Genomic DNA, 26,478 nt, shown 5'->3' with positions numbered 1-26,478 from the left:
TGAGAATCACTTGAACCCAGGAGACAGAGATTGTGGTCTCTGCAACAGAGATTGCACCACTGCACTCCAGCCTTGGTGACAGAGTGAGACTCTGTCTCAAAAAAACAAACAAACAAACAAACAAAAACCCTTAGCCTTAGCCTAGAGAGGCAGATCTGGAGACAAAGCTGGCTGCGTGGGAATACCAACTTCTCTACTCACTGGCTGTGTGACCTTGGCCAAGTTGTCAACCTCCTTATGCCTCAGTTTCCCTCTCTGTAAAATGAGGGCCTACACAAAGGTTATCATGAAGTTTAGACTAGTCAATATACCCATGTAACAAACCTGCACATGTACCTACTGTATCTAAAATAAAAGCTGAAGTTATTTTTTTAACGTTAGTATTATATATCCAAAGCATTTAGAACAGTGCCTGGCACGTATGTGTGAACCCCCGTCGTGATCCCAGAGCCTACCTGACCAAGCCCCAGCCCATCTCTGCAGCAACCCTGGTACCTCTCTCCCCATGAGAATAAAAAGAGAAACTGTCCTAGAAGCTAGGGAAGAAGCATCTTTGACAACTTCTGCTGTTCCTACCTTCCCTGATGCACGCTGCTTCCCACCATTCCTGGAGGAGTTGGGAAAACAGCAATAAGGATGGCCTTTGGTCCCAAAGGTTCCCAAGGTAATGACAAAAGCTGCTACTTCCTGTCTCCCTGCAGCTCTCTCTGTGCATGAAGAGGAGGGTAGAGGCACTGCACACTGATTTAACAAACGCATCCGATTAGAACACGGTTCCTTTTATTATCCGGAAAGCTATAAAAATACATAGAAACGAACATATTTTATCACTGGAGTTGGTCTTCACATTTTATGGGTCTGTAGCGGGTGTTTTTGTTTTACCGACATTTGTTAGAAACAAGGTTCTGGAACGTTGTCCTTGTTTGGGTGCTCGTGAGAAATTGTATCCAGAAAGGCATTTCAGGACCTGTCCCTATGGAAACAGCCCCACTGCAGGAGTGTGCGTGACAGGGTGAGTGTGAGTGCGTGTGTGTGTGTGTGTGTGTGTGTGTGTGTGTGTGTGTGTGTGTAGCTAAAGTCCTCCTTTTTCCCAGGAGCAAGGGTGCCTAGGGATTACCTGGTCCAGCCTTCTCATATAGTTGAGGAAACTGAGGCCCAGACAGGGCAGTGCTTTATCCAGGATCACAGAACAACTCGGTTCAGCAACTATTTTCTGAGCGTATTAGTATCACCTTAGCTGCTCTAATAAACACCCCCACCCCAGTAACACAATAGACTTTTCTTGCTCACAGGACAGAGTTCCTGGTTGGTCAATGAGCCTTCCACTACGTGATTCAGGGACCCAGCCTCCCTCCTTATTGTGGTGACACCTTTTCCTAGAACTCAGAATCATCTGCTTTCGTCTGGATGAGGGAAGAATTTGGAGGATTACACATTGAAGGTTTTTATGGTCCAGGCCAGAAGTGGCCCATGTCACTTCCGTCCATGTCCCACTAGTCAAGGCTCAGTCACATGTCATGCCTAACCACAGGGAAGCCGGGAGGTGTCACCTGGCTCTGTGCCCAGGAGGAAGAGAAAGGCTGGTGAACAACTGTCCAGGTCTTGGTGCCTGGGCTGGAAGATGCATGAGCAGAGGAATGAGACAGCAGACCTGCCCTGCCAGAGCTCACAGTCCAGTGTTGTGAGATGGGGATGGGGGAGCAACAGCAAACACAGGTCACTTATGTCCCATGTCCCCAGCTTGAGGTTCAGAATAAGGACCATCTTTTTGCACCCTCGTCCCATTGATCACCAGAAGTCCATTTACTTCTCACAAGAGAGAAGTCCCATGCCAGGGTAAGTTCAAGACTCCCAGTGTCCTTCCTAAGTCAGTCCAAAAGAAGTCAGCAGTCCTGGTTTTTTTTTGTTTGTTTGTTTTCTTTCAGACAGAGTCTCGCACTGTCACCCAGGCTAGAGTGCAGTGGTGCAATCTCTGCTCACTGCAACCTCTGCCTCCTGGGTTCAAGCTATTCTCTTGCCTCAGCCTCCCGAGTAGCTGGGATTACAGGCACCCACCACCACGCCTGGCTAATTTTGTATTTTTAGTAGAGATGGGGTTTCACCAAGTTGGCCAGGCTGGTCTTGAACTCCTGACCTCCTGATCTGTCCACCTCAGCCTCCCAAAGTGTTGGGATTACAGGCATGAGCCACCACGCCCAGCCAGCAGTCCTGGTTTCTAAAAGATTGCAGAGAAGAAGCTGGAAGGTCTGGTTTATTTCCTGAAAGGTCCTATTCATCCTATTCTCTGTCTCAAGCCCAGCAGTATTTCCTTTTTGAGGGGAAAGTTAGGAGCCTGTATCCTGAGTTTCACGTCATTAGATAATGCCACAGGCCTGAAATCCCAACAAAACAGCACTTAAGAGGGGACATAGCTTAGTTCACGTACGCTTTTTTTTTTTTTTTTTTTTAAAGACATTCTCACTCTGTCCCCCAGGCTGGCTGGAGTGCAGTGGCACAATCTTGGCTCACTGCAACCTCCACCTCCCAGGTTCAAGCAATTCTCATGCCTCAGCACCCAAGTAGCTGGGATTACAAGCATGTACCACCACACCTAATTTTTGTATTTTTAGTAGAAATGGGATTTCACCATATTGCCCAGGCTGGTCTTGAACTCCTGGCTTGGATTATAGGCGTGAGCCATGACACATGGCCCGATGTACACATACACACATATTCTCTGTGTATACATACACACACACCTCAGAACCAGCCATCAGACATTCACCCCTTTGGTTGACCAGCATCTATTAGGAGAATCCCAAGATAGTGGAAGGACCCCCCCCCGCCTCTCCCCACAGAAGCTGCCTGGGACAGATCTTCTGTGCTTCCAGTGACTAGAATATGGACGTGCAGCCTAGAGTGTGGCCAGCTGGACATGCCCTCCCAGGACTCTGTAGAGTGACATTGAGGCACAGAGTCAGTCTGCCATTTAAAGGGTGCCGCCATAGAAGGACATCTCGTGCTGTGTGGGCGTCATCTCCATGGCTGGAGGTGTCAGATGGGGCCACAGTGACCAGCTGGCCGGCAGTCAGCTCCCAGGTGGCAGCTTGGCAGATCTTAACTCTCTGGGTTCTCGTCAAGCCTGTTTCTCTAGTTTCTCCGTCAATTGCATGAGCTACCCGATACTTTTACAAACCACTCCTTCAGGTTAGCTGGAGTCCGATACTTTTACAAACCACTCCTTCAGGTTAGCTGGAGTCTGTGCTTGCCACCAGCAGCCAAGCTCCCTGACTGGTGTCACCTTTGTCTTAGCAGTCAACCCACTCCCATTTCCCTTCACTACCAGCTTCCCCAGGGCCACCCCAGACCCAGACGGGTCCACCAACTTCCACCCTCAAGGGAAAGGCCACGGCTCCCACCACCTTCCTCCAGGAGATGTCTGAGCAAATCTCTAATTAACCTGTCTTTTCACACTCCTTCAATATTGAGTCCTCAAGGGGGCTGTGGACAGAACCAATGTAATTGGTTTACTCTGCGATGCTAGATATTTTATTTGATGCATTTGAAAATATGATCCTGAGAGGCTTGGTGTGGTGGCTCATGCCTATAATCCCAGCACTTTGGGAGGCCAAGGCAGGTGGATCACCTGAGGTCAGGAACTCAAGACCAGACTGGCCAACATGGCGAAACCCAGTCTCTACTAAAAACACAAAAATTAGCTGGGCATGGTGGTGCTTGCCTGTAATCCCAGCTACTCAGGAGGCTGAGGCAGGAGAATTGCTTGAACCTGGGAGGCAGAGATTGCAGTGAGCTAAGATCGTGCTACTGCACTCCAGCCTGGGCAGCAAGAGCAAAACTCTGTCTCAAAAACAAAACAAACAAACAAACAAAAAATCCTGAGAAAGGGTCCACAGGCTTCACTCGATGCCAAAGGGGTCGAGGGCACCAAAAAGGTAAGGATCGCTTGGGACTGCAGCCTCCCAAAGGCTCCACAACAAGCACCCCGCTGGCCTTGTGAGATCCCTACTGGTTTGAGGGCCAACCCACCCTCCCCACACCATTCCTTCTCAAAAGCACTTCCTCCTTTTTGAGACCAGCTCCTCTCCCCACCCTGTCTAGGCAGGTGGGCCCTGCAGTTGTCACGTGACCTCATGTTGCCATATGACCTCATGTTACAGGAGCTGGCACATGACCTCACCCTCCAGCCATAGCTACTGGCTCAGAAGGAGTGGGCTGCTGGCCCAAGCCAGGCCAACCAGGTCCTTCCCCGCAGTTGTTTTTGGTTTCATTTTAAACTGGAACTTGGGGGGAAACAGTTATACTCTCCCCGGTGAGGCCTTTGGAGCTGAGAGCTCTCTTGTTTTCCACAAAGTAGGGGAAGCCAAATGAGTAGCAGAAGGACGCTGATGCTGACAGGGAGAGGAGAGGTGGGGAGGAGAGAGGAGAGTGGGGAGGGGAGGGAGCTGGCTGCATTCGCAGTCCGTCCATCCGTCCGGGGTCTGGCCGTGGCCCTGCCCTCCTGGCAGTATGGTTATTTATTGCCTCCTTAATTTCCCCTCTTCTTGCCCCAGTTAGAGATGGAGTTTGCCACTGCCTGTCTTGTTCTGCTGAATCGCAGAGTCTGCACAGAGCCAGACACATAGTAGGTGTACAGCTAACATCTGTGAACAAGTGACTGTACAAACACAGGCATTGGAAAAAGTGTACAAGGTCCAGAGAAGAGAGGAATTAAGTCTCCATGGGGGGATGTCAGGAACTGCTGGGGTGGGAGGTGACATTCAAAGGTGAGAGGAGGTTTCTGGATGGCTATGGTGGGGGAAGATGGGGAGGGATGGTAATTGAGGCTAAAGAAAACAGCTGAGACTAGGTTGAAAAAAGGCTTAACTATCAGACTGGAAATGACTTTACAACTTGTGGCTGAGCTAGGTCTAAAGCCTGGGTGTTCCTAAAAATGGCCAGAGCTCGGGTTGGGCACGGTGGCTCATGCCTGTAATCCCAGCACTTTGGGAGGTGGGCAGATCACCTGAGGTCAGGAGTTTGAGACCAGCCTGACCAACATGGTGAAACTCCATTGCTACTTAAAAAAGCCAGGTGTGGTGGCAGGTGCCTGTAATCTGAGCTACTCGGGAGACTGAGGTAGAATTGCTTGAACCCGGGAGGCAGACGTTGCAGTGAGCTGAGATCAGACAGCTGCACTCCAGCCTGGGCAACAGAGCAAGACTCTGTTTCAAAAACAAAAACAAAAACACAAAATGGCCAGAGGTCCATGCAGAACGTCATCCATGGAAGTGAAGACGTGGGTGTCTGTATGCTCCCCGTGTCTCCTCACCCCTAGAAATCCTGCTATTGAGAAAACCTGGTTCTCCTCCCACAGTCCCAACAACTCTCCTGAAATTGCCCTCACAGAGTGCACTGCGAAGCCTCCCTGTGACTGGGTCCAGCCAACCCTTTTCAGTCTTGATTCTTCCTGACCTTTCTGCCGCCTTCCACATTCTGACTTGACCCACATTGTTCCTTCCCAGTGGCTCCTCTGTCCCTCTGTGTGTCTCCCCTTCCTGGGGCCACAACTGTACCTTAGAAGTGGGTGGCCTCCCAGTGTCTGTGCTGGGTCCTCTCCTGGCTCTATGTCCATGCTGTACAACTTCATCCATTCTTGTGGCTGCAGAGACCACTTAGAGATGGGACTTCTAACCTTCTGCTTCCCGCCAGCTCCAGACCCAGTTATCCAGTGGCTGAACCTTCACCTCCAGGCTTCCCCACGGGCCCTTAGACTCAGACACATCCCAAACCAGATTTATCCTCTTCCCCTCATTACGATGCACACAGCTCTTTCCCATTCAGTCTCCCCGTGAGGACCGGATTCCTAGCCACATTGAAGGCAGAAGGAAACAGGCTCAGAGAAGGGCAGCTCGCAGTCACACAGGTGAGTCCACCTAACTCCAACTCCACACCGTTTGATTAGGACTCAGGATGGGGCAATACTTTTCACCTCCGACCCCCAGGCCTCCCAGGGCCAGGGCAGTAAATGTTGACCAGATCGATTTCCACCATGCCTGAAAGTCAGCGGTCAGCTGCTGACCACACTGTCAATTATTCAGGCTCCCTGGGATTTCACCAAGAGCTACGGTTTAACTAAAACACAGCTCCATTGTCCTCACACCCCCAGCTTGCCCTCAGAGGCCTGGGTGCGGGTGGACAGCCAGGGCACCTCCCCGGGCGGCCAAGCACATATCTGCCCCAGCCCCTCACTCCCCTTCCCAGCTCACAGATCAGACTGGAGCTTCCTGGTCCTCAAATCCCTTGGAGGAGGTCCTGGGCTGAAAGGGCTGAAGCCCTGAGGGCAGAACTGGGACCGGCCACCAGAAGTTACCTGAGGCAGGTTTAGGTTCCGTTCTGCTGTTCTGCAAGACCCAGACTTTTCTTTCCTCTTTTTTTTTTTTTTTTTTTTTTTTTTTTTGAGATAGAGTCTCTGTTGCCCAGGCTGTGATGCAGTGTTACAACCTCCCAGGTTCAAGCGATTCTCCTGCGTCAGCCTCATGAGCAGTTGAGACCCAGACTTTTCTTATCACCAGACAAAAACAGACACTCTGGGAGGCAGGGAGCTAGTCAACCACACAGGTGTGTGACACTCCGGGCAGACTGTCATTAGGAAGACTATCCATGGGGAGAGTCAAGGGCTATTGATGGTAACAACTAGATTTTTGAATGTGCTTTACAATTCACAGTGCTAGTGGGGCATTGTGGCTCACGCCTGTAATCCCAACAATTTGGGAGGCTGAGGTGGGTGGATGGCTTGAGCCCAAGAGTTCAAGACCAGCGTGGGCAACATAGCGGGACCCCATCTCTATAAAAATATTTAAAAACTAGCTGGATGTGGTGGCGCATGGCTGTGGTCCCGGCTACCTAGGAGGCTGAGGTGGGAGGATAGCTTGAACCCAGGAGGTTGAGGCTGAAGTAAGCTATGATCATGCCACTGTACTCCAGCCTGGGTGACAGAGTGAGACCCTGTCTAAAAAAAAAAATCACAATGCTCTCAATGACATATGTCATCTTACAGCCTCAAGTCTTTTTTGGAACAAGGTGGTGCATAAATAAAGACACATTCATTCGGCAGTCATTACTGAGCTTGCCAGGCACTTTGCTAGGTGCTGCAAAGTGAGGTAAGAATACAGATTTGACCCTGGCCTCGGGTGATAACAATACTGAACGCCACTAGTAAAGGGGCCTGCCATGTGTCAGGGATGGCAGGTTCTAAATACCCCATGTGCTTCAACACACATTATCCTTACAACAATGCTGACAAGCAGTTGCTGGCATTGTCTCCATTTTTATTTTATTTTATTTTTTTTTTTGACACTAGGTCTCACTCTGTCGCCTAGGCTAGAGTGAAGTGATGCAATCATGGCTCACTGCAGTGCTGACCTCCCAGGCTCAAGTGATCCTCCAGCCTCAGCCTCCTGAGTAGCTGGGACCACAGGTATGTGCCATCATGTCTGGCTCGTTTTTGTATATTTCGTAGACATGGGGTTTGACCAGGTTGCCCAGGCTGGTCTTGAACTCCTGGGCTCAAGTGATCTGTCCGCCTCGGCCTCCCAAAGTGTGCTGGGATTACAGGTATGAGCCACCATGCCCAGAGTGTTATCTCCATTTTAGACAAGGAAAGATTTTACAGATGAGGCACAGAGAGGTACAAAGAGATGCCCAAGGTCACACAGCCTGTGTAAACAGAGCAGAATTTGAGCCCAGGCATCGGATTTCAAGCCCCTGCTCTCAGCCTCTGCTCAAAGTCGTGTGAAGGAGTTCGGTAGACGTTAGGTAGATGATCACGTAAGTAAGATCTAATGACAGAACCATGGAGGAAAGATCGCGGGGAGTATAACAGGGAGGACTGATCTATCCAGGATGTGGGTTGCGGGAGGGGGTGAGAGTCAGAGAATGATTATTAAGGGTCCTTTAAGCTGAAGTCTTCAGGAAGAGGAGTTTGCTGGGGGAAGGGCTCAGGAAAGGCACATTCCAAGCAGTGAGAACTGCATGTGTAGAGACCCTGAGGCTTCAGCCCTGTCACCAGGACCCCCTCGGAGCCTGGCCACAGGGAGCCGGCAGCCAGAGGCACAGGGCTGCACCTCAGCTGGGCCCACTTCCTCTCTGTCTGCCAGCTTTATTTTTAGATCTCTCACTTTCCGATGCCATGAGTGAGCCAGCAAGGTCTGGGCCTTCCTCATCAGATTGTTTATGTTCTACCCCATCGGTGTCTCCATCACGGCCCCTCCCCTCCCAGGAGTGATCTGCAGGCCTGATTGGAAGCCCTGGTTTCTTCTCTGATGTTGTTATTGACTATTCCACTCCTCTGACTGGGGCCACTGGGTCTCCCCACCTCACCCTTCTGCCTGCTTTCTCTCCTTCTTCCCATTAGCTCAATTCCACTCCACTCCAACGATCCTATCTGTGCCAGACACTGGGATGAGTGTTGACAAGACAGACCTAAATGACACAAGGGTCTTTGGCATCACATGTGCTAGAATCCAGGTAAGCATGGATGATTCATAGTGCAAACTGAGACAGGTGTGAAAGTGAAAGGGGTGCTATTAATAATGATTGGTTATTAATAATGCCAGCACCACAGTGCAAGCCCAGGCAACTGAGAAACATGGTCACCCGAGTTCATTAGGACAGAAAAATGAGGAGAGATTTGTCCAATGGAGGACAAATGGAAGGGAGTCTCAGCAGCGGGGAACAGCATGTGTAAATATTTGGCAAGTTTGGGGGAGAATGGTGAGTTCATGGTGGCAATAACCTGAGACATGGGTCTTCATACCCCAATCCTGAGCCATGGAGAAAGGAAAGAAGGAGAGTCCAGCTGGATTCCAGGTGAGAAAATGTGGACAGTTTAATATGACTAGCACAGGGTGGCAAAAACCTTGCAGTTCTGCCGCCCCTGCGTCCATGGCAGGCATCACTAATTGATCACCGCACTCTCCTTCCCACTGAACCCTGATTCAACCCTCACAGCCCTCAACACAGTGCTCTGGGGCCAGTCATTACCAACTGTCACACTGTGTGTACCTGGCTGGAGATGAGGGTGGAGATCACATCAAGAGAAGCCTAGAATTTGAAAGTAAGAAGTTGAAATATGATTCTCTGGGTAATAGGGAGCCATCAGATGTGAAGGGAAGTGATGAAACTAAGATTAAGGCTTAGGAAGGTCACTGCCAGTGGAGGGGAGGAACTTGGGCAGGGAAACTAGTGAGACCCGTGCTGACGTCCAGGCCATGAACCTGAACCTGAACCAGGAGCAGAGAAGTAGGTCTGGTGACCGAGGAGATGTTGTGGGGCAGGAAAGAGGAGAGGGCAGTTAGGATGATGCCCTGACTTCCGGATGTCTAGCCCTGTGTCTGGGAAGATGCTGTGGGCAAGGCTGGTGTAAAGGCACCATGGGAGGTCCTGATAGGAATCTTCTGTTCCAGAGGTCACCAGTGAGAGCCACCCTGAGACTCTGTCCCCCAGGGGGAGAGAGGCCAAATCGGTCTGGTTGAGCTTTACCTTGAGAGACACCAGAATTTGCACATATACACCTTTTCAGACATAAAAATGTCTTCTCTACCCCTCAGAACTCTGCAGAGGAGGGGAGACTTGATCTGCTGATCAAGTCTGGGGGTGACTGTAAGAAGCGGGGGGACTCACGTGTCATTCCCTGGCCAGACATCTGCTCAGCCCCAGGGCCATCAGATGGGGTTGTGGAGAGCAGTGCCAGGGAAAGGCCCCTGGGCTTCCGGTTCCTGGGAGACACGGGGGTCTGGGAGCAGAGGCTATGGAAGGTAAGACTCGGGGGCTGCAGATTCTTGAACCCATGCTTGGACCCTCTCAGCACGGGTCCAAGAATCTCAACATAAGGGAGGGGTGTGGCACAGGGGCCGGCCAAAGATTAACTGGAAGGTGTCACTTCTCTGGGGAGAAACCACCAGTGCCTGAGGAAGGGGCCTGGAATTGAGTCCCTGATCAGTGGGGCCTATAGGGGCCTTCACCTACAACCGCCAGGTGTCAGGCTTTGAGCTCAGCCCACCACAGCCATGGGTTACAGGAGGGGCACCACACAATCTTCTAGCCAAGGGTCAGTCCAGAGACAGCTGTGTCCTTCTTTCTTCTCCTCAAGCCCCAACCCTAGGGGTGAGCCCAGAGAAGGGGTGTGAGTGTGTGTGCGTGTGACCTCTGAACTCCCCAAAACACACACACACTCACACTTCAAGCCCTTAGAGCTCCCAGCCCAGCTTGCCTTGCAGAGGAAGAACTAAATTTTGAAACAGATCTGAGCCTGAAGGTTTTTCGTTGTTGTTTGTTTTGTTTTGTTTATTTGTTTTTGAGGCAGAGTTTCGCTCTTGTTGCCCAGGCTGGAGTGCAATGGCATGATCTCGGCTCATTGCAACCTCTGCCTCCTGGGTCTGCGATTCTCCTGCCTCAGCCTCCCGAGTAGCTGGGATTACAGGAGCCCGCCACCACGCCCAGCTAATTTTTGTATTTTTAGTAGAGACGGGGTTTCACCATGTTGACCAAGCTGGTCTCAAACTCCTGACCTCAGGTGATTTGCCCGCCTCGGCCTCCCAAAGTGCTGAGATTGCAGGTGTGAGCCACCATGCCCGGCCTGAGCCTGAAGTTTTAAAATTACCAGGTCTTAACTAGAATAAGACTGTTCTTATAGCCAAAACCATCTGAAAGAAATGGAACCCAGGTGTGGTCAAAGACACATAACTCCCAGCCAGGCAGAGGGCTTCATGGAGTCCTGTTGGTGGCAGTTACTAGAAAAATAAAATTGTGTCATAATTGGAAACCTAAGAGCTGAAGGTCCTCAGCTGTTTACAAAGTAAATACAAAAGCAAGAGTGGATTTGAAGGGGGAAAGATTGTTGGAGATAAGGGTGGAATGAGGTTTTATTGAGAGGTTTTAGACAGAGGGACCCAGGAAGTTCTGACACCATCTTTCCCTTCACTCTTCTCTGCGCAGTCCCCAAGGAGCCATCTCTGCAGGGAACAGAGAATTGAAGGAAACAGGTCCCTGTGCTGTCAGTTGGGTTTCTGTCCTCTGTCCCATGCCCTTCCTAGGTTGACTTAAAGCTCAGGATGGCCTCTCCCTCCAAGGCCAAACCAAATCTCAGGATCCCCTCACCTTGCGTTTTCCCGGGGAGCGGGGGCCATGGCTTCCACAGCACGGTGCGAAGGCAGCCGAGAGGGAGAGCCCAGATTGGATGGAAAGGAAGAAGAGCACCAGCATGAGGCAGAGAGGCGCGAGGCCAAGGGTGGGGTCGGATTCCTGGGAAGCTGGCTCCGCCAGGGGGCTTGAGGTCTGGCGCATAGCTCTCCCCTTTGCGGGTGAGGGTTGGGGGACGAAGAAAAGAGCACTTGTCACCTTTTGCTCCCTATCCCCAGGGAGGCAGAAGAATTCAATTTGGGACCCCCTGAATGTGAGGGTCTGTGGCACAGCATGGGGTGAAGGATGCCAGATCAGGGGCTCCCAGGAGAGAACTCAGGGAAGAAGCTGGAACTCTGGTAGTTGTCAGGATGCAGGTGACACTGCAAACCTCGGAGGGAGAGCATAGAGGGAGAGAAGCGGCAGCAAGAAGAACAAACGGAGCCTGGGAGAAGCCGACACCGAGGGAAGGGAGCAAAGCTAGGAACTCACCTAAGAGCTCTGCAGCTGGGAGATCTGACTCCTGGCTGTCTTCCTGGCCAGACCTCCCCTCTGGCAGCAGACAAGATGCATCTCTCACCAAGCCTGCTGCTCTGGGAAACCTAATGGCTTTTGAGTCTGCCCAGGTGGGCAGCGGGACAAGTTTACCTCCCTGCTTCCTGCCATCTCCCTCTCGCCGGCTCTGGCTGCTGCTTCGGCTGCTTCTGAGGCAGCCCCTCCAGGCCCAGGCTGCCCTCCCATTCCAGGCCCAGTGCTCCAGACTTTCTCCTCATCAGAGTTTACCAGCCTGGTCTCATTCCCTCCTCCCTGTCCCTTGCCAAGTTCTGCCTGGCTCCCTGCCCCTCTCTTCCCTTCTCCTTAGAACAGGAGCCAATTGAGGCCTGCCTTCAGAGTCAGCTCCACGCCAAGCCCTGGGACCCTTCCATTAATGGCAGCAAAGTCAGCCCAGGATCTGGGAGCCAGCATCAAGGACCCTCCCCTTAGAAGTTCATTTGACTGTCCTTATGCCCCAGTACCAAAAAGAAGGTTTTTGCCTCCAGAAACTGAGACCCAAGGACTCCAAGCCGCTCTCTGGCCTTTTTCTTGCATATATCATCAGCCCACCCCATGCCAAACATACCCCAGAGTCTTCATCCTCCAACTCCAGCCCAAGGGGAGGCATGGGGGCGTAGAGAGGTAGCTGATGTTCCCAGGGTTTGGGGCATCAGTTTACCACCTTTGTGTAATCCATTTGTCAGCTGGGGCCTCCCTTCCTCTTGACTATTTCAAAAATATCAGTTCAAATGCATATTTCACACCCTATGGAAGTGTAACACTGTCCCCAATATTTCGGAGAGTTCTGGAATGGCTTGCCTTTTCATACTCCCCTCTGCATCAGAGCTGCAGCTTCTGCTAAATTCGTTTAGTGTCTGGCTTGGGCCGCTGACCCAGGCCTGCTGTTTCATTTTGACACAGCTCTGACTGAGACGTGGAACTCAGCCAGCACCTTCCTCTGTTTCACCAGAAACCCATCTCAGAAGGTATTTGTGTACAAAGCAGGCAGAGGGAGATTTAGGGAGGTCAGAAGGATGGTTTTAAGAAGCGCTGCAATTCATATACCTTCCAACGAACACTGGACAATCCTGTTCTTAAAAGTTCTTTTGTGGCCGGGCGCGGTGGCTCACGCCTATAATCCCAACACTTTGGGAGGCCAAGGTGGGCAGATCACCTGAGGTCAGGAGTTCGAGACCAGCCAGGCCAACATGGCGAAACCCCATCTCCACTAAAAATACAAAAATTAGCTGGGTGTGGTGGCAGGTGCCTGTAATCCCAGCTACTCAGGAGGTGGAGGCAGGAGGTTGCAGTGATCTGAGATCAAGCCACTGCACTCCAGCCTGGGCAACAGAGCGAGACTCCATCTCAGAAAGAATAAAAATAAAAAATAAATAAAAGTTCTTTTGTTAACTCCCCCTTCAGGAAGTTTTCCCTGGCACCTTTACCTCCCATGGCACCACAACTCCCAGCCTCCTCAGGCTTTTTCCTTCATCCTTTGTGCATCTCTCTCCCTTGAGAGGCAAGACAGTGCCGTGGTTAAATGCAAGCGTTCTGCTCCCACATGGCCCGACTGTGAACCTGGCTCTGCTTTTTTTTTTTGAGACAGAGTCTCACTGTCGCCCAGGCTGGAGTGCGGTGACGCAATCTCCGCTCACTGCAACCCCCGCTCCTCCTAGGTTCAAGTGATTCTCCTGCCTCAGCCTCCTGAGTAGCTGGCATTACAGTCACCCGCCACCACGCCCGGCTAATTTTTTGTATTTTTAGTAGAGACGGGGTTTCACTATGTTGGCCAGGCTGGTCTTGAACTCCTGACCTCGTGATCCGCCCATCTCAGCCTCCCAAAGTGTTGAGATTACAGGCACGAGCCATCGCGCCCGGCCTGGCTCTGCATTTTATCAGCTGTGTGATCATAGCAGAGTTACCTAACCTCTCTGAACCTTAATCACATCTGCAAGTGAGGATAATAAAAGTTGAAGATAGTAGGTTGGTGGTGAGGATTTCATCAAACAGTTATGGGAAACACTTAGCACAGCGCCAGCTCCACCATGTTAGCTGTTGCTGCTGTTGTTCACCCCTTCAAATTCTTCCCATACCCTTTCCCAAATCCTGCCCGTCTTTGCCTATTCGAACCCATGAAGAGGCAGGGTGTGGTGGCTCACACTTGTAATCCCAGCACTTTGCGAGGCCAAGGCAAGAGGATCATTTAAGGCCAGAAGTTCAAGACCAGCCTAGGCAACATTGCGAGACCTGCCTCTCTCTGTCTCTCTCAAATTATATATGTAATATATAATTATATATAATATATGATATGTATATTATATTTATATTATAATATATTATATATAATATTTATATTATAATTATATTATATATAATGTTTATATTTTATAGTTTATATAATATTTATATAATTATAATATATAATTATATATTAATAATTATTAATATGATAAAATTATATTAAATATGTTATATATTATCTATATTATATTATATTAATATGTTATCTATATAAAACATATTTAATATAATTTTATAATATATAAATATATATATTATTTTAAAATACAAGCCCATGAAGAGCTCAGAAACAGGAGGTTTCAATGCACAAGACTGGCCCTCCTTGTTGAGGTTGTAAATGGGCTCTGTCACTGTCACATGTAAATGGGCTTGAGAGGGACTTCACATTCGTGGACACTAAAAACATGTCATGCCCTTCCTTCCTCTTTCTCTGCACCTTCCAACCCCCATCCCCACAGCGTTGAAAGCAAACAGCCATGACCAACAGCAGGGGAGTCGGCCTGGACTTTGCCAAACTATTAGGAAAGAGGTGTTGTCTTTCAGGGGTTTTTATGTAAGCCTGGAGTTACTGGGGGCCATCTTTTCTACCTCATGGGAAAAACCTAACAAATAATGAAGCCAACGCAAAGAAAAAGAAAAAGAAGTGCCTTTTGTTTTGTTTTGTTTTGTTTTTTTTGAGATGGGGTCTCATTCTGTCACTCACACTGGAGTGCAGTGGCAAGATCATAGCTCTTTGCAGCCTCGAACTCCTGGGCTCAAGTGACCCTCCTGCCTCAGCCTCCCAAGTACCTGGAACTACAGTCATGAGTCACCACCGCATTCAGCTAAAAGACAGTATCTTGGTGATATCATTTGAAGCCCTAGATCCAGCCATACCTGAATTCATACCTTGAGTTTTCCAATTATATGAACCAATACATTCCCGTTTTCTTGTTTAAACTAATTTAATCTGAGTTCCTGTAGTGTAAAAATTGAATGAATCTTGACTAATAGAGAATTTCAACTAAAAATGGAGGTCATTAGAAAGCAAAGGGGAAAGTCACATGGACTCCTGCTATAGAAAGAATAACCAGAAATCACAGGAATGAGAAGGTTGCTTCTGCCTCCATTTCTCTCTCTCTCTCTCTCTCTCTCTCTCGTTCTTCCTCCACACAATATCCCATTTCTGCTTTTCTCTGCATATCTGGTCCTTTTACTCTGCAGACCAGGGTTTCTGCTGACCCATTGGCTCATCTGGAAAAGGTCACAGGGCTGACTGTCTTTGGCCCAGACTGGGTCACACGACCCCCTTGACCTATTGCAATCCATGTACTTACCTCTGTATCTGAGGATTGGGGTCAGGCCCACCTAAGCCAAACAGACTAAGATAGGGTGAAGAATCCTTTAAAAAAAGAAATCACAGGGCCCGTTTTCAGAATAATGGGAAAAGAATCCAAATAGGCAAAAGCAACAGGTGATCACTCCCAGGAGTTCAGTGAATTTCTGTTTTATGACTAACCAAGCCCTGACTAAGCACAGGCCCAGCACCTGGAACCAGGGGAGTGGCTCCGGTGGCAACAGGTCCTGGGAGCTGGTTTTGCTTAGGCTTTCTTTAATATCATCGTCAATCGGCCGGGCGCGGTGGTTCACGCCTGTAATCCCAGCACTTTGGGAGGCCGAGGCAGGTGGATCACGACGAGGTCAACAGATCGAGACCAATATGGTGAAACCCCATCTCTACTAAAAATACAAAAAATAGCCAGGTGTGGTGGTGCACGCCTGTAGACCCAGCTACTCGGGAGGCTGAGGCAGGAGAGTCGCTTGAACCAGGAGGCGGAGGTCGCAGTGAGCCAAGATTGTGCCACTGCACTCCAGGAGGCGGAGGTTGCGGTGAGCCGAGATTGTGCCACTGCAATCCAGGAGACGGAGGTTGCAGTGAGCTGAGATTGTGCCACTGCACTCCAGCCTGGCGACAGAGCGAGACTCTGTCTCAAAAATAAATAAATACATAAAATAAAAATTAAAAATAATCTTCACCAATCACACCACATTGCCAGAGGGAAACCGGTTTTGACTTTGACCATAACATGCAACCCTTCTGTGGCATCATTTGAGTTGTAAATGCCACATTACATGAATTTTTTTGTGGGGAATTCCATTACACGGAATACTGTCTCCTACACAGTAGAGCTCCACAGTAGAGAAAACCCAAGGCGCTAGGAGAGATCTAGTGGCAGCGTGTTACTGCGACAGGCTCCAAGCCCTCTGATGTACGCCAGCTTCCTTGGTGTAAAGGACCTCATCAGGGGTATCTGCTTGGCCCTGAATGACTCCCTCAACCATTGCCCACTCCCTGTCTCAGAGGTGGGCTCCTGGCAGCTATGTTTGTACAACATGGCCCTTGGTTGTAGCTGATTACCCAGTGTGGACCTCTGACTCAAGCTCAATCAGCCATTGTCATGTATTTGGAATTTAAGACTTCGATAGAGGAAGAGTCCTTCTCTCCATGGGGCTGGAGTATGTGGACTAGGGGTTGTGGGCAGCCATGACCCTCTTGCCCATCCCCTGGGCAGGGCTGAGAAGAAGAGCAAGCTGGTCCCAGCCCTTTGGAAGGTTGTGGGTCCTTGGTGGAAGTAGCTCTGAAATGAAAGCACCTGGGAATCTTTGGGGCCTGAAGATCTGTGTACTTTGGGATGGGGGGAGCCCTGAGCCACCAGAGGAGCAACAGTGAGATGGGGAGGCAGGTTCAGAGGATTCTAGATGAAGCAGCTTTAATGCAGGGTGGCAGAGGGAGGCTGGTGTCCCAGCAACTTTCCTGGCAAGAGTTTGGGAATCAAAGACCATGGCCATTGGTAACCACTGCCCTTGGTCCACAAGTTCCAGGGAAGCAAAACTTTCATTAGTAGCCACAATAATGGCTACGTTAATTATCAATAATTATCAACAATTAATATTATTTTGTACCAATACAGCATGTTATACCTTCCAAAGCATATCCACCTCCACAATCTCATTTGCTCCTTTGCCATCTATATTGGGAAAAGATGTATTTTTTTTAATTTTTAAATTTTGTTTAGAGACAGAGTCTCGCTCTGTCACCCAGGCTGGAATGCAGTGGTGCGATCACAGTTCACTGCAGCCTCAACCTCTCAGGCTCAAGTGATCTTCCTGCCTAAGCCTCCCAAGTAGCTGGGACCACAGACACACACCACCACACCTAGCTAATTTTGTATTTTTTGTGGAGATGGGGGTCTCCCTATGTTGCCCAGGCTGGGCTCGAACTTCTGGGCTCAAGCTATCCTCCCACCTTGGCCTCCTGAAGTACTGGGATTGCAGGCATGAGCCGCAGCAGCTGGCTGTGAGAAAGACGTATTATGTTCTAAGAGTTGCCATGGGGGCCAGGTGCGGTGGCTCAGGTCTGTAATCCCAGCACTTTGGGAGGCTGAGGCGGGCGGATCACCTGAGGTTGGGAGTTCGAGACCAGCCTGACGAACATGGAGAAACCCTGTCTTTACTAAAAATACAAAATTAGCCGGGCATGGTGACACCTGCCTGTAATTCCAGCTACTCGGGAGGCTGAGGCAGGAGAATTGCTTGAACCCGGGAGGCAGAGGTTGCAGTGAGACGAGATCATGCCATTGCACTCCAGCCTGGGCAACAAGAGCAAAACTCCGTCTCAAAAAAAAAAAGGAATTGCCATGCCCAAAGCCCCTTCTAGAAAAAAGCTACCCATGTACCCACCCCTTGCACACTGGATTAAGGTAGGGGCTTGTTGCAAAGGCAGCCACCCCACGAACAGGGTAGTGACTTCTGGGGCAGCACTGCAGGTGTACGGGTGACCAGCTGAGCCCACACAGCCTCTGTGGCAGAGTTTGAGAGTGAGCCTCTGGAGAGAGGCAGGACTCTGGTTTCCCAAAGGCAGAAGCCAAATGACACATACAGAAGGTAGCAAGAGGAAGCTAAGAATAAATGAGAAGTAGAAGCAGAAGTCAGGAGGTGGGATGAAGGTAGGAGAGAGACATTAGTGGACAGGGGAAGGACCCATGGCCCCATCTGGGCCATGGAGGTGGAGGAGCTGATGGAGGGGCCTTAGAGCAGAGAATGCCTCTGGCAGGTGGCACCCCAAAGCCTGGAGGACACTAGAACGGCACTGGCCCCTGAAGGATGTTCCTGGTCCTGAACACCATTCTGAGCTCCAGAGAGAGTAGCCAGGTGGCTTAGCTTCCTGTCCTCTGATGATCTTGGCCATCCTCAACAGCAGCCACCAGAGTGGTCTCTATTCCTTAATGCAGCCACACATACCCCATACAATGACTCAGCAGAGCGAGGCCACTCCTGGCCAGTGTCAGCACAACTCAGCAAGGTGCTTCCTCTCGTCTGTCCCTGGACCCACTCTTCCCCAGAGGGGGCACTGTCAGGGGCTGACTGCAGGAAGGACCCTTCTGCAATGCAATGGCATCAGTCGAGGCGTCATCTGCCTTCAGCCTGGACAGTTCAGGGATATGTCCCAGGAGAGATGAGCAACACCTTGATTAGTAGCTGAGCAAATTAAATCAAAGCATGGTGAAAAAATCCTCCCTCCCTCTCCCCTCCCTCCCTCCCTCCCTCCCTCCCTCCCTTCCTTCCTTCCTTCCTTCCTTCCTTCCTTCCTTCCTTCCTTCTCACCCAAGGGAGTATGCTGAAATCAGGGGAGAGTAGCCCTGAGAGGTGAGAGCTCCTGGAAAAATGTCAAATGCCCTAAGCCAGAGATGGGGGTCAAAAAGTGTTTTCATCTGGAACCTCCTGATGTCAGGTAGCCAAGAATGGGGAGCCCAGGCCCCTTTCAGCATGCAACCTCAAGGTCCCACAGGCCAGGGGACACCCTGAAGACTTTTAGCAGGGAAATGACAAGCCTGGTTTCAGGAAAATGGATTGGAAAGAGGTCAAAGGAGCCAGGGGGGTGAATTAGGAAATTGGAACCAACATCTGGAAGTGAGGTGAGTAAGAAGAAACAGGTTTCTGTCCTAGAACTTTTAGTTCCTGCCTGGGAGATAAACAATAAGCAAGTCAACAATACACTTATACAATGTGTCCAGGGAACAATAAACCTGTACAAAATACTACTGTAAGAAAGAAAAAATAAAGCAGAGCCGGGGGCTAGAGAACAGTGGGGACAGAGTGACTGGTGCAGAGACTGTCAAAAATAAAGATATGTTCAACGAATGGCTGAGTCTCGCACTTTGATAAACACTGCTTTTCTCTTTACATCCTGAATTATGTTGTCTCGGTTTAGGTTTTAACTCTAGAGGCTTCTCTTGTTCCCTGGGACTAAGGTATTTTCTACTTTTTCCTTTTTTAAGAATCAGCAGCTTGAAAGATAGCATGTTCCCATATTCTTCAGGAATGTCACATTTGATATGGCCACTGGATGCGCTTGACTTCTTTATTTATGATTTCTGGCACATTTCCTTTGAGGACGCTCAGAATAGCTTCTGATCCGGCTCACTCACAGAAACAGTGAAATCAAATCTTCCTGTACTAACCCTGAGAGTAAGCAACTTTCCTGATGTAAGCTGCCCCCGCTCTCCGGGAGTAAATAACTGGGTGGTCACAGCCTTCCATGAGCAGGGCCATGTCCTGATTTCCAGTGCGGCTCTCTCCACAGCAACATCTTTGACTTGCATACTATTTTTCTGGTAAAGTGCGTTCACTTCCAGAAATCTCATCACAATCAATATGAGTGGTGTGCATGCTCCTAAGGCCAAATTTGGGCCATTCGCTCTTCACTAACCTCTTTATAATCCGTTAAATGTTTCTGGTCTATCCCTTGGTAATATTCAAATCAATGTTCTGACTTATTTATTCTTTGGAAGCCTCATTTATCTCTCTCAGCATCGTGCCACTTCTGTTTGCCTCTCTTGAACTTTTGCACTCTGGACAAAGCAAAGGGCTCAAAGGAGCGTTTGTTGACTGGTGCTGGTGTGTGTATGTGTGAATGAATTTACATGCATGTGAGTGCGTGTGTGTGTGTGTGTGTGTGTGTGTGTGATATAGTTGAAAGAGCTCTGAGTTGGAAATCAAACACATTTAGGTTAAAGGGACAGTCCGTTTGAGTTCTAGCTGGTAACTTTGAGTAAGTGACCTCTTGGGGCCTCAGTTTCCACACCCATAAAGCAAAAATATAGGTATATATCCAAGAGACATGTAAACATATGTGTACATACAGCAAAAACTTGTACATGGGCCAAGTGCAGTGGCTCTCACCTATAATCCCAGCACTTCAGGGGACTGAGGCTGAGGCAGGGGGATCACTTGAGCACAGGAGTTTGAGACCAGCCTGGGCAACATAGCAAGACCCTGTCTCTAATAATAATTTAATAAAACTTGTACATGAATATTCATGGCAGTTTTTTTTTTTTTTTTTAGGAGTGGGGTCTCTCTCTGTCACCCAGGCTGGAGTGCAGTGATGTAATAATAGCTCACTGTAGCCTTGAACTCCTGGGCTTAAGTGATCCTCCTGCCTCGGCCTCCCAAAGTGTTGGGATTACAGGCATGAGCCACCATGCGCAACCGGCTTTTAAAATTATAAACCAAAGCTGGAAACCAATTAAATGTTCATTGACTGATGAATGGATAAATAAAAGGTGTTGCATCCATACTGTGGAATGTTATTAATTCATAAAAAGGGATGAAGTACTAATATAGGCTACAACATTATGCTAAGTGAAAAAAGCCTTGTAAATATTATGCTAGCTGGGCACGGTGTTCGCGCCTGTAATCCCAGTGCTTTGGGAGGCTGAGGTGGGTGGATCGCCTGAGGTCATGAGTTCGAGACCAGCCTGGCCAACATGGCAAAACCCCATCTCTACTAAAAATACAAGGATTTGCCAGGCATGCTGGTGCACGCCTGTAGTCCCAGCTACTCAGGAGGCTGAGGCAGGAGAATCGCTTGAACCCAGGAGGTGGAGGTTGCAGTAAGCAGAGATCGCGCCACTGCACTCCAGTCTGGGCCATGGAGCAAGACTCCATCTCAAAAAAAAAAAAAAAAAAAAGAAAGAAAAGAAAAGTAAAGAAAAAAAAAACATTATGCTAAGTGAAAAAAGCCAGACACAAAAGACCATTATGTGTTAGTTTCCCAGGGCTGCCATAACAAAGTAGCACAAACTGGCTGGCTTAAGCAACAGAAATTTATTGTGTCACAGTCCTGGAGGCTGGAAGTCTAAGATCAAGGTATCCAGAGTTGCTTCCCCCTGAGGACTGTGAAGGAGACATGTTCTGTGACTCATGCCTAGTTTCTGGTGTTTGCTGGCAATCTTTGGTGTTCCTTGGTGTAGAGAAACATCACCTCAATCTCTGCTTTCATCTTCACGTGATGTTCTCCCTGTGTGTATCTTCATATCTAAATTTCCCCTTTTTATAAGGACACCAGACATACTGGATTAAGGCCCATTCTAATGACCCTTTCTTAAACTAATTGCATCTGCAATGACCCTGTTTTCAAATAAGGCCACATTCCGAGATACTGGTGTTAAGACTTCAATTTATGAATTTGGTAGGGGTGGGGGAGACACGATTCAACCCATAATACCACATGTTGTAAGATTCCATTTATGTAAAATGTCTAGAATAGGTAAATCCAGAGAGACAGAAAGAAGATTAGTGCTTGCCAGTGGCTGGGAAAAAAAGGAAATTGGGAATGACTGCTAATGGATACAGAGTTCATTTTTTAAAAATGTTCCGAAATTAGAACAACTATGTGAATACAGTCTGGCAAGTAAACAATACACTCATAAAATATGTTCAGGGAGGCTGGGCGTGGGGCTCACGTCTGTAATCTCAGCACTTTGGGAGGCTGAGGTGGGAGGATCACTTGAGCCCAGGAGTTTGAGACCAGCCTGGGCAACAAAGTGATACCCTGTCTCTATTTAAAGCATTTAAATATTAGCTGAGTGTGATGGTGCACGCCTGTAGTCCCAGCTACTCAGGAGGCTGAGGTAGGAGGAACACTTGACCCTGGGAGGTTGACGCTGCAGTAAGTCATGACTGCGCCACTGCACTCCAGCCTGGGTGAAAGAGGGAGATCCTGCCTCAAAAAAAAAAAAAAAAAAACCTCAGGGAGCAATAAGAGTGTAAGCAAACACAAAACAGGGCAAGTGGCTTTATTTTCTGTGGTTTCAGTTACCCATAGTCAACTGTGGCCCAAAAATATTAAATAGAAAATTCCAGGCCAGGCGTGGTGGCTCACACCTGTAATCCCAGCACTTTGGGAGGCTGAGGTGGGCAGATCACCTGAGGTGAGGAGTTCGAGACCAGCCTGGCCAACATGGTGAAAGCCCATCTCTACTAATAATACAAAAATTAGCCAGGCATGGTGGCGGGCGCCTGTAGTCCCAGCTATTCGGGAGACTGAGGCAGGAGAATCCCTTGAACCCAGGAGGTGGAGGTTGCAGTGAGCCAAGATCGCGCCACTGCCCTCCAGCCTGGGTGACAGAGAGAGACTCCATCTGAAAAAAAAAAAAGTTCCAGAAAGAAACAATTCATAAGTTTTACATTGTATTCCGTTCTGAGTGGTGTGATGAAATCCTGTGTCGTCTCGGCCCATCCCACTTGGCATGCAAATCATTCCTTTGTCCAGCATCTCCATGCTGTATGAACACCCACCTGTAAGTCACTTAATAGCCGCCTTGGTTATCAGTGCCAGTATTGATACTGTAGTGCTTGTGTTTAAGTAACCCCTTATTTTACTTAATAATGCCCGCAGAATGCAAGAGTAGTGATGCTGGCTTATTGTTAAAATTGTTCTATTTTATTATTAGTTACTGTTGTTAACCTCTTGCCATTCCTCATTTATAAATTAAACTTTTTCTAGGTATGTACAAAGAGGAAAAAACAGAACAAGCAAGTCTACTGGTATCTATAGTTTCAGTCATCCACTGAGGGTCTTGGAACATATTCTCTACAGATAAGGGGGACTACGATACTAAAATTCAATGAATTACACCCTGTTTTTGTTTTTGTTTCTGTTTTGAGATAGAGTCTTGCTCTGTTGCCCAAACTAGTGTGCAGTGGCCCAATCTCGACTCACTGCAATTTCCGCCTCTTGGACTCAAGCCATTCTCCTGCCTCAGCCTCCAGAGTAGCTGGGATTACAGGCACCCACTGCCACGCCCGACTAATTTTTGTATTTTTAGTAGAGACGGGGTTTCACCATGTTGGCCAGGCTGGTCTCAAACTCCTAACCTCAAGTGATCCTCCTGCCTTGGCCTCCCAAAGTACTGGGATTACAGGTGGGAGCCACTGCGCCCGGCAAATTACACACTTTAAATGGTTGAACTGTATGGTCTGTGAATTACATCTCATTGAAGCTGCTTTTTTTTTTTAAGGGTGCAATGTTTACTATTCTTTTGCCATAATAAGGTCATGCAGATCACATGATACCAGGGAAATGAATGTGTTTGGACAACTCTGCAAAGACAAAAACAATTGTAGCTTTTGGTTTTTAATTTTTCAATACTTTTGGTATTTCCTATGTGCCTTCCACCCTAACTGCATGGAGGATTCTCTATTCATTCCAAATCTTCCTAATGTAATAAGCAAAATTCCACCTCTCCTTAAAAGCTAACTTCAACAGTCCCTGCAAGCTTAGTCTCATATTACTTACAAAAACATCTTTCCTAAACCTGCCCTGTGATTCTTGCAAAATTTTTATCCGTTCTGAACGGATGTCTCTTTTACCATTGAATTATCTCACTGCAATCTTCAGAAAGCACCTTCAAGCTTTTGCATTTTAAGAGACAAGCTTTTTCCCCCCCGGCATCTGTGCTTTTGCCCTTGTTGGATCACAGCTAGTTTTTCCCCAGAGGCCAAATCAAATTTCATAAAACAGTCGGGATCTAGATAGAGGCTAACAAAATCCTTGCTCACCCTCTGAGGCACTGCCGTGCACCTCTGTCCATCCCTGGGCCTCAGAGGAAGCAGACAGAGGACCCCTAGCTCCTGAGGTGTAACCCTTAGTGACCACTGTGTTTGTGGCTAGTCCACTCAGTTGCCTGTGGCCACAGAAGAAATGAGTACCCGCCTCTTACTTGTGACCTTGGCTGGGTGTCTCATGCCTGCTCTTGGGTGAACTGTGAGTTGCAGGTCTCTCAGGGAGTCTGTCTCCTGTTCTGCAGGGTGAGGGATCTCTAGGTATAAACTCCATCAAGGTGAGTAGATTGTAGGTAAACTGTGCAGTTGCCAAACCCAGCTGGAAAAATCCTAATTTATGAATCCTTCCAATGCCCTCTTCTCCCATCTGCCTGTTAGACCCTATGCTCTGGGGCCTGTTCAAACTGGGTCCCCATCCTAGCCCTCTAATCGCTTGCTGTGTCTTTGGCTGAGTTGCTGAACCTCTCTGGGCCTCAGGTTCTCCAACTGTGAAAAGGAGATAATGATCCTTTTCTCATAAGGTGTGATAAGGATGGAATTAATTTTTTTTTTTTTTGAGACAGAGTCTCACTCACTCTGTTGCCCAGGCTGGAGTGCAGTGGCATCATCTTAGCTCACTGCAACCTCCACCTCCCAGGTTCAAGAGATTCTCCTGCCTCAGCCACCCAAGTAGCTGGGATTGCAGGCGTGCACCACCATGCCCAGCTAGTTTTTGTATTTGTAGTAGAGACAGGGTTTCACTATTTTGGCCAGATTGGTCTTCAACTCCTGGCCTCTAGTGATCCACCCACGTTGGCCTCCCAAAGTGCTGGGATTAGGTGTGAGCCACCGCTCCTGGCAAGGATGGAATGAAATTTGTCTGGTATGCACTAATGTTGGCTCTCTCTCCCCATGATCCCAAATGTCCCTCCAGGAAAGCAAGATCTGACCCACAAGGTCCATCCTGGCTGGACTGAGAGCTACGAGGCAGTGGAAAGAATACTGCACTTGGGGTCAGACCAAGTGACCTAATTTGAAGTCCCAGCTCTGGCTCGTGATCTTGTGCAGACTCATCTAACCCACACCTTCCCATGCCACCCAGGCTGGGGTGAAGTGAGGAGCACATGGGATTATGGGTAAGAAACTGCTTAGAAATCTGGAAGGCAGCCAGGTGCAGTGGCTCACGCCTGTAATCCCAACATTTTGGGAGGCCGAGGCAGGTGGATCACCTGAGGTCAGGAGTTCAAGACCAGCCTGGCCAATGTGGTGAAACCCTGTCTCTACTAAAAATACAAAAATTAGCCAGGCATGGTGATGGGTGCCTGTAATCCCAGCTACTCAGGAGGCTGAGTCAGGAGCATCATTTGAACCTGGGAGGCAGAGTTTATTACAACAACAGAGTGAGTGAGACTCTGCCTCAAAAAAAAAAAATTCATTCTATCCTTATCACACCTTATAAGAAAAGGATAGTTATCTCCTTTTCTCGGTTGCAGTGAGCCGAGATCACACCATTGCACTCCAGCCTGGGCGACAGAGTGGAACTCCGTCTCAAAAAAGAAAGGAAAGGAAAAGAAGGGAAGGGGAAGGGGAAAGGGAAAGGAAAAGGAAGGAAAGGAAAGGAAGAAAGAAATCTGGAAGGGGCTGTGTGGCTGGGAGTGTCTACTGTCACGCCTGCCCTCCCAGTGACTGTGTGGCCCAACAACCCTCATCCAGCACTTCACCCCCGGCTGCTCCTACAGCACCCCCCACCCAGCTCCTCAAACTCACTGCTCACAGGTGGGCAGGCTCCAGGACCCTCCCTCTCTGCTGCCCCATTTATCTTCCTTTCTCTACATCCTCCCAGCAGACTCAGCAGATCCTTTCCTAGCCCAAAGCAGCTTTGAAGAGCCATCGTGAGCCAATGGGCGGAGCTAATAGTCTCCTATCCTCGACTTGCAGGGGGTGAGTACAGCTCTCCCAAGGGACTGGGAGGGGCCTCTCCATCATTCCTCACTCAGCTTCTTGTTTTTTTGGTGGGGCGGGGGCCCTGGGGCAAGTTCCTTTTGCCCTCTGTGCTTCTGCTGCCTCATCTGTAGGTCAACAGTGACAGTAGCACCTACCTTGTAAGTGTCTGGGTAGATTAAACAAGCGTCACGTGTAAGGAAGTTAGCTCAGAGTCGGGCACATAGTTAGTTATTATTGTTGCTTATTCATTCAGCTGTTCTCATGCAGTCACTCACAGGACACCTTCTCTCTGCTGCTGCTAGGGGCACAATGAATCAGACAGAGACCTCACCCTTGCAGAGTTCGCAGTCCGGGAGGCAGGCAGACAAGACCACAGTTGCAAGGTGATAACAGCGGGTGGCTGTTGTGGGAGCCACTGCACAAAGTGATAAGAGAAGAAGGGTGAAGTGGGAGGATCGCTTGAGCCCAGGAAGTCAAGGCTGCAGTGAGCCAAGATCGTGCCACTGCACTCCAGCCTGACAACAGAATGAGACCCCGTCTCAAAAAAAATAATAATGATGATAAAATAAAATTTAAAAAGAGAGAGGAAGGGTGCTGGTGGGAGTCCATGGGAGAGAGGCCCTAACTCTTCTGGGGTGGTCAGGCGAAGCCTCCCAGAGGGAGAACGTTTAGCTGGGC

At 49.0% G+C, this 26,478-nt stretch overlaps 1 long non-coding RNA gene across 1 annotated transcript, besides 4 other annotated features; it reads left to right on the top strand.

Annotated features, from left to right (window-relative positions):
- Positions 3,752–4,251: an enhancer, noted in NCBI's record as "H3K4me1 hESC enhancer chr9:126089039-126089538 (GRCh37/hg19 assembly coordinates)". NCBI's record gives its function as "activates a minimal SCP1, AML or CMV promoter by ChIP-STARR-seq in primed H9 embryonic stem cells {active_cell/tissue: H9 hESC(primed)}" and the evidence as "EXISTENCE:reporter gene assay evidence [ECO:0000049][PMID:30033119]".
- Positions 4,252–4,753: an enhancer, noted in NCBI's record as "H3K4me1 hESC enhancer chr9:126088537-126089038 (GRCh37/hg19 assembly coordinates)". NCBI's record gives its function as "activates a minimal SCP1, AML or CMV promoter by ChIP-STARR-seq in naive H9 embryonic stem cells {active_cell/tissue: H9 hESC(naive)}" and the evidence as "EXISTENCE:reporter gene assay evidence [ECO:0000049][PMID:30033119]".
- LOC105376265 (uncharacterized) lies at positions 9,017–26,186 on the top strand. The gene is made up of 4 exons (XR_930331.3): positions 9,017–9,094; positions 24,791–24,992; positions 25,700–25,797; positions 26,103–26,186. It is a non-coding gene; the product is annotated as an uncharacterized LOC105376265 (long non-coding RNA).
- Positions 12,752–12,861: an enhancer, noted in NCBI's record as "active region_28936". NCBI's record gives its function as "activates an Ori minimal core promoter by ATAC-STARR-seq in GM12878 lymphoblastoid cells {active_cell/tissue: GM12878}" and the evidence as "EXISTENCE:reporter gene assay evidence [ECO:0000049][PMID:35858748]".
- Positions 26,006–26,055: an enhancer, noted in NCBI's record as "active region_28935". NCBI's record gives its function as "activates an Ori minimal core promoter by ATAC-STARR-seq in GM12878 lymphoblastoid cells {active_cell/tissue: GM12878}" and the evidence as "EXISTENCE:reporter gene assay evidence [ECO:0000049][PMID:35858748]".
- Positions 26,187–26,478: the final 292 nt, after the last annotated feature.

The sequence above is a fragment of the Homo sapiens genome, chromosome 9, assembly GCF_000001405.40.
Source record: "Homo sapiens chromosome 9, GRCh38.p14 Primary Assembly".
NCBI classification, from domain to species: domain Eukaryota; kingdom Metazoa; phylum Chordata; class Mammalia; order Primates; family Hominidae; genus Homo; species Homo sapiens.
This window is presented reverse-complemented; position numbering and strand designations above follow the sequence as displayed.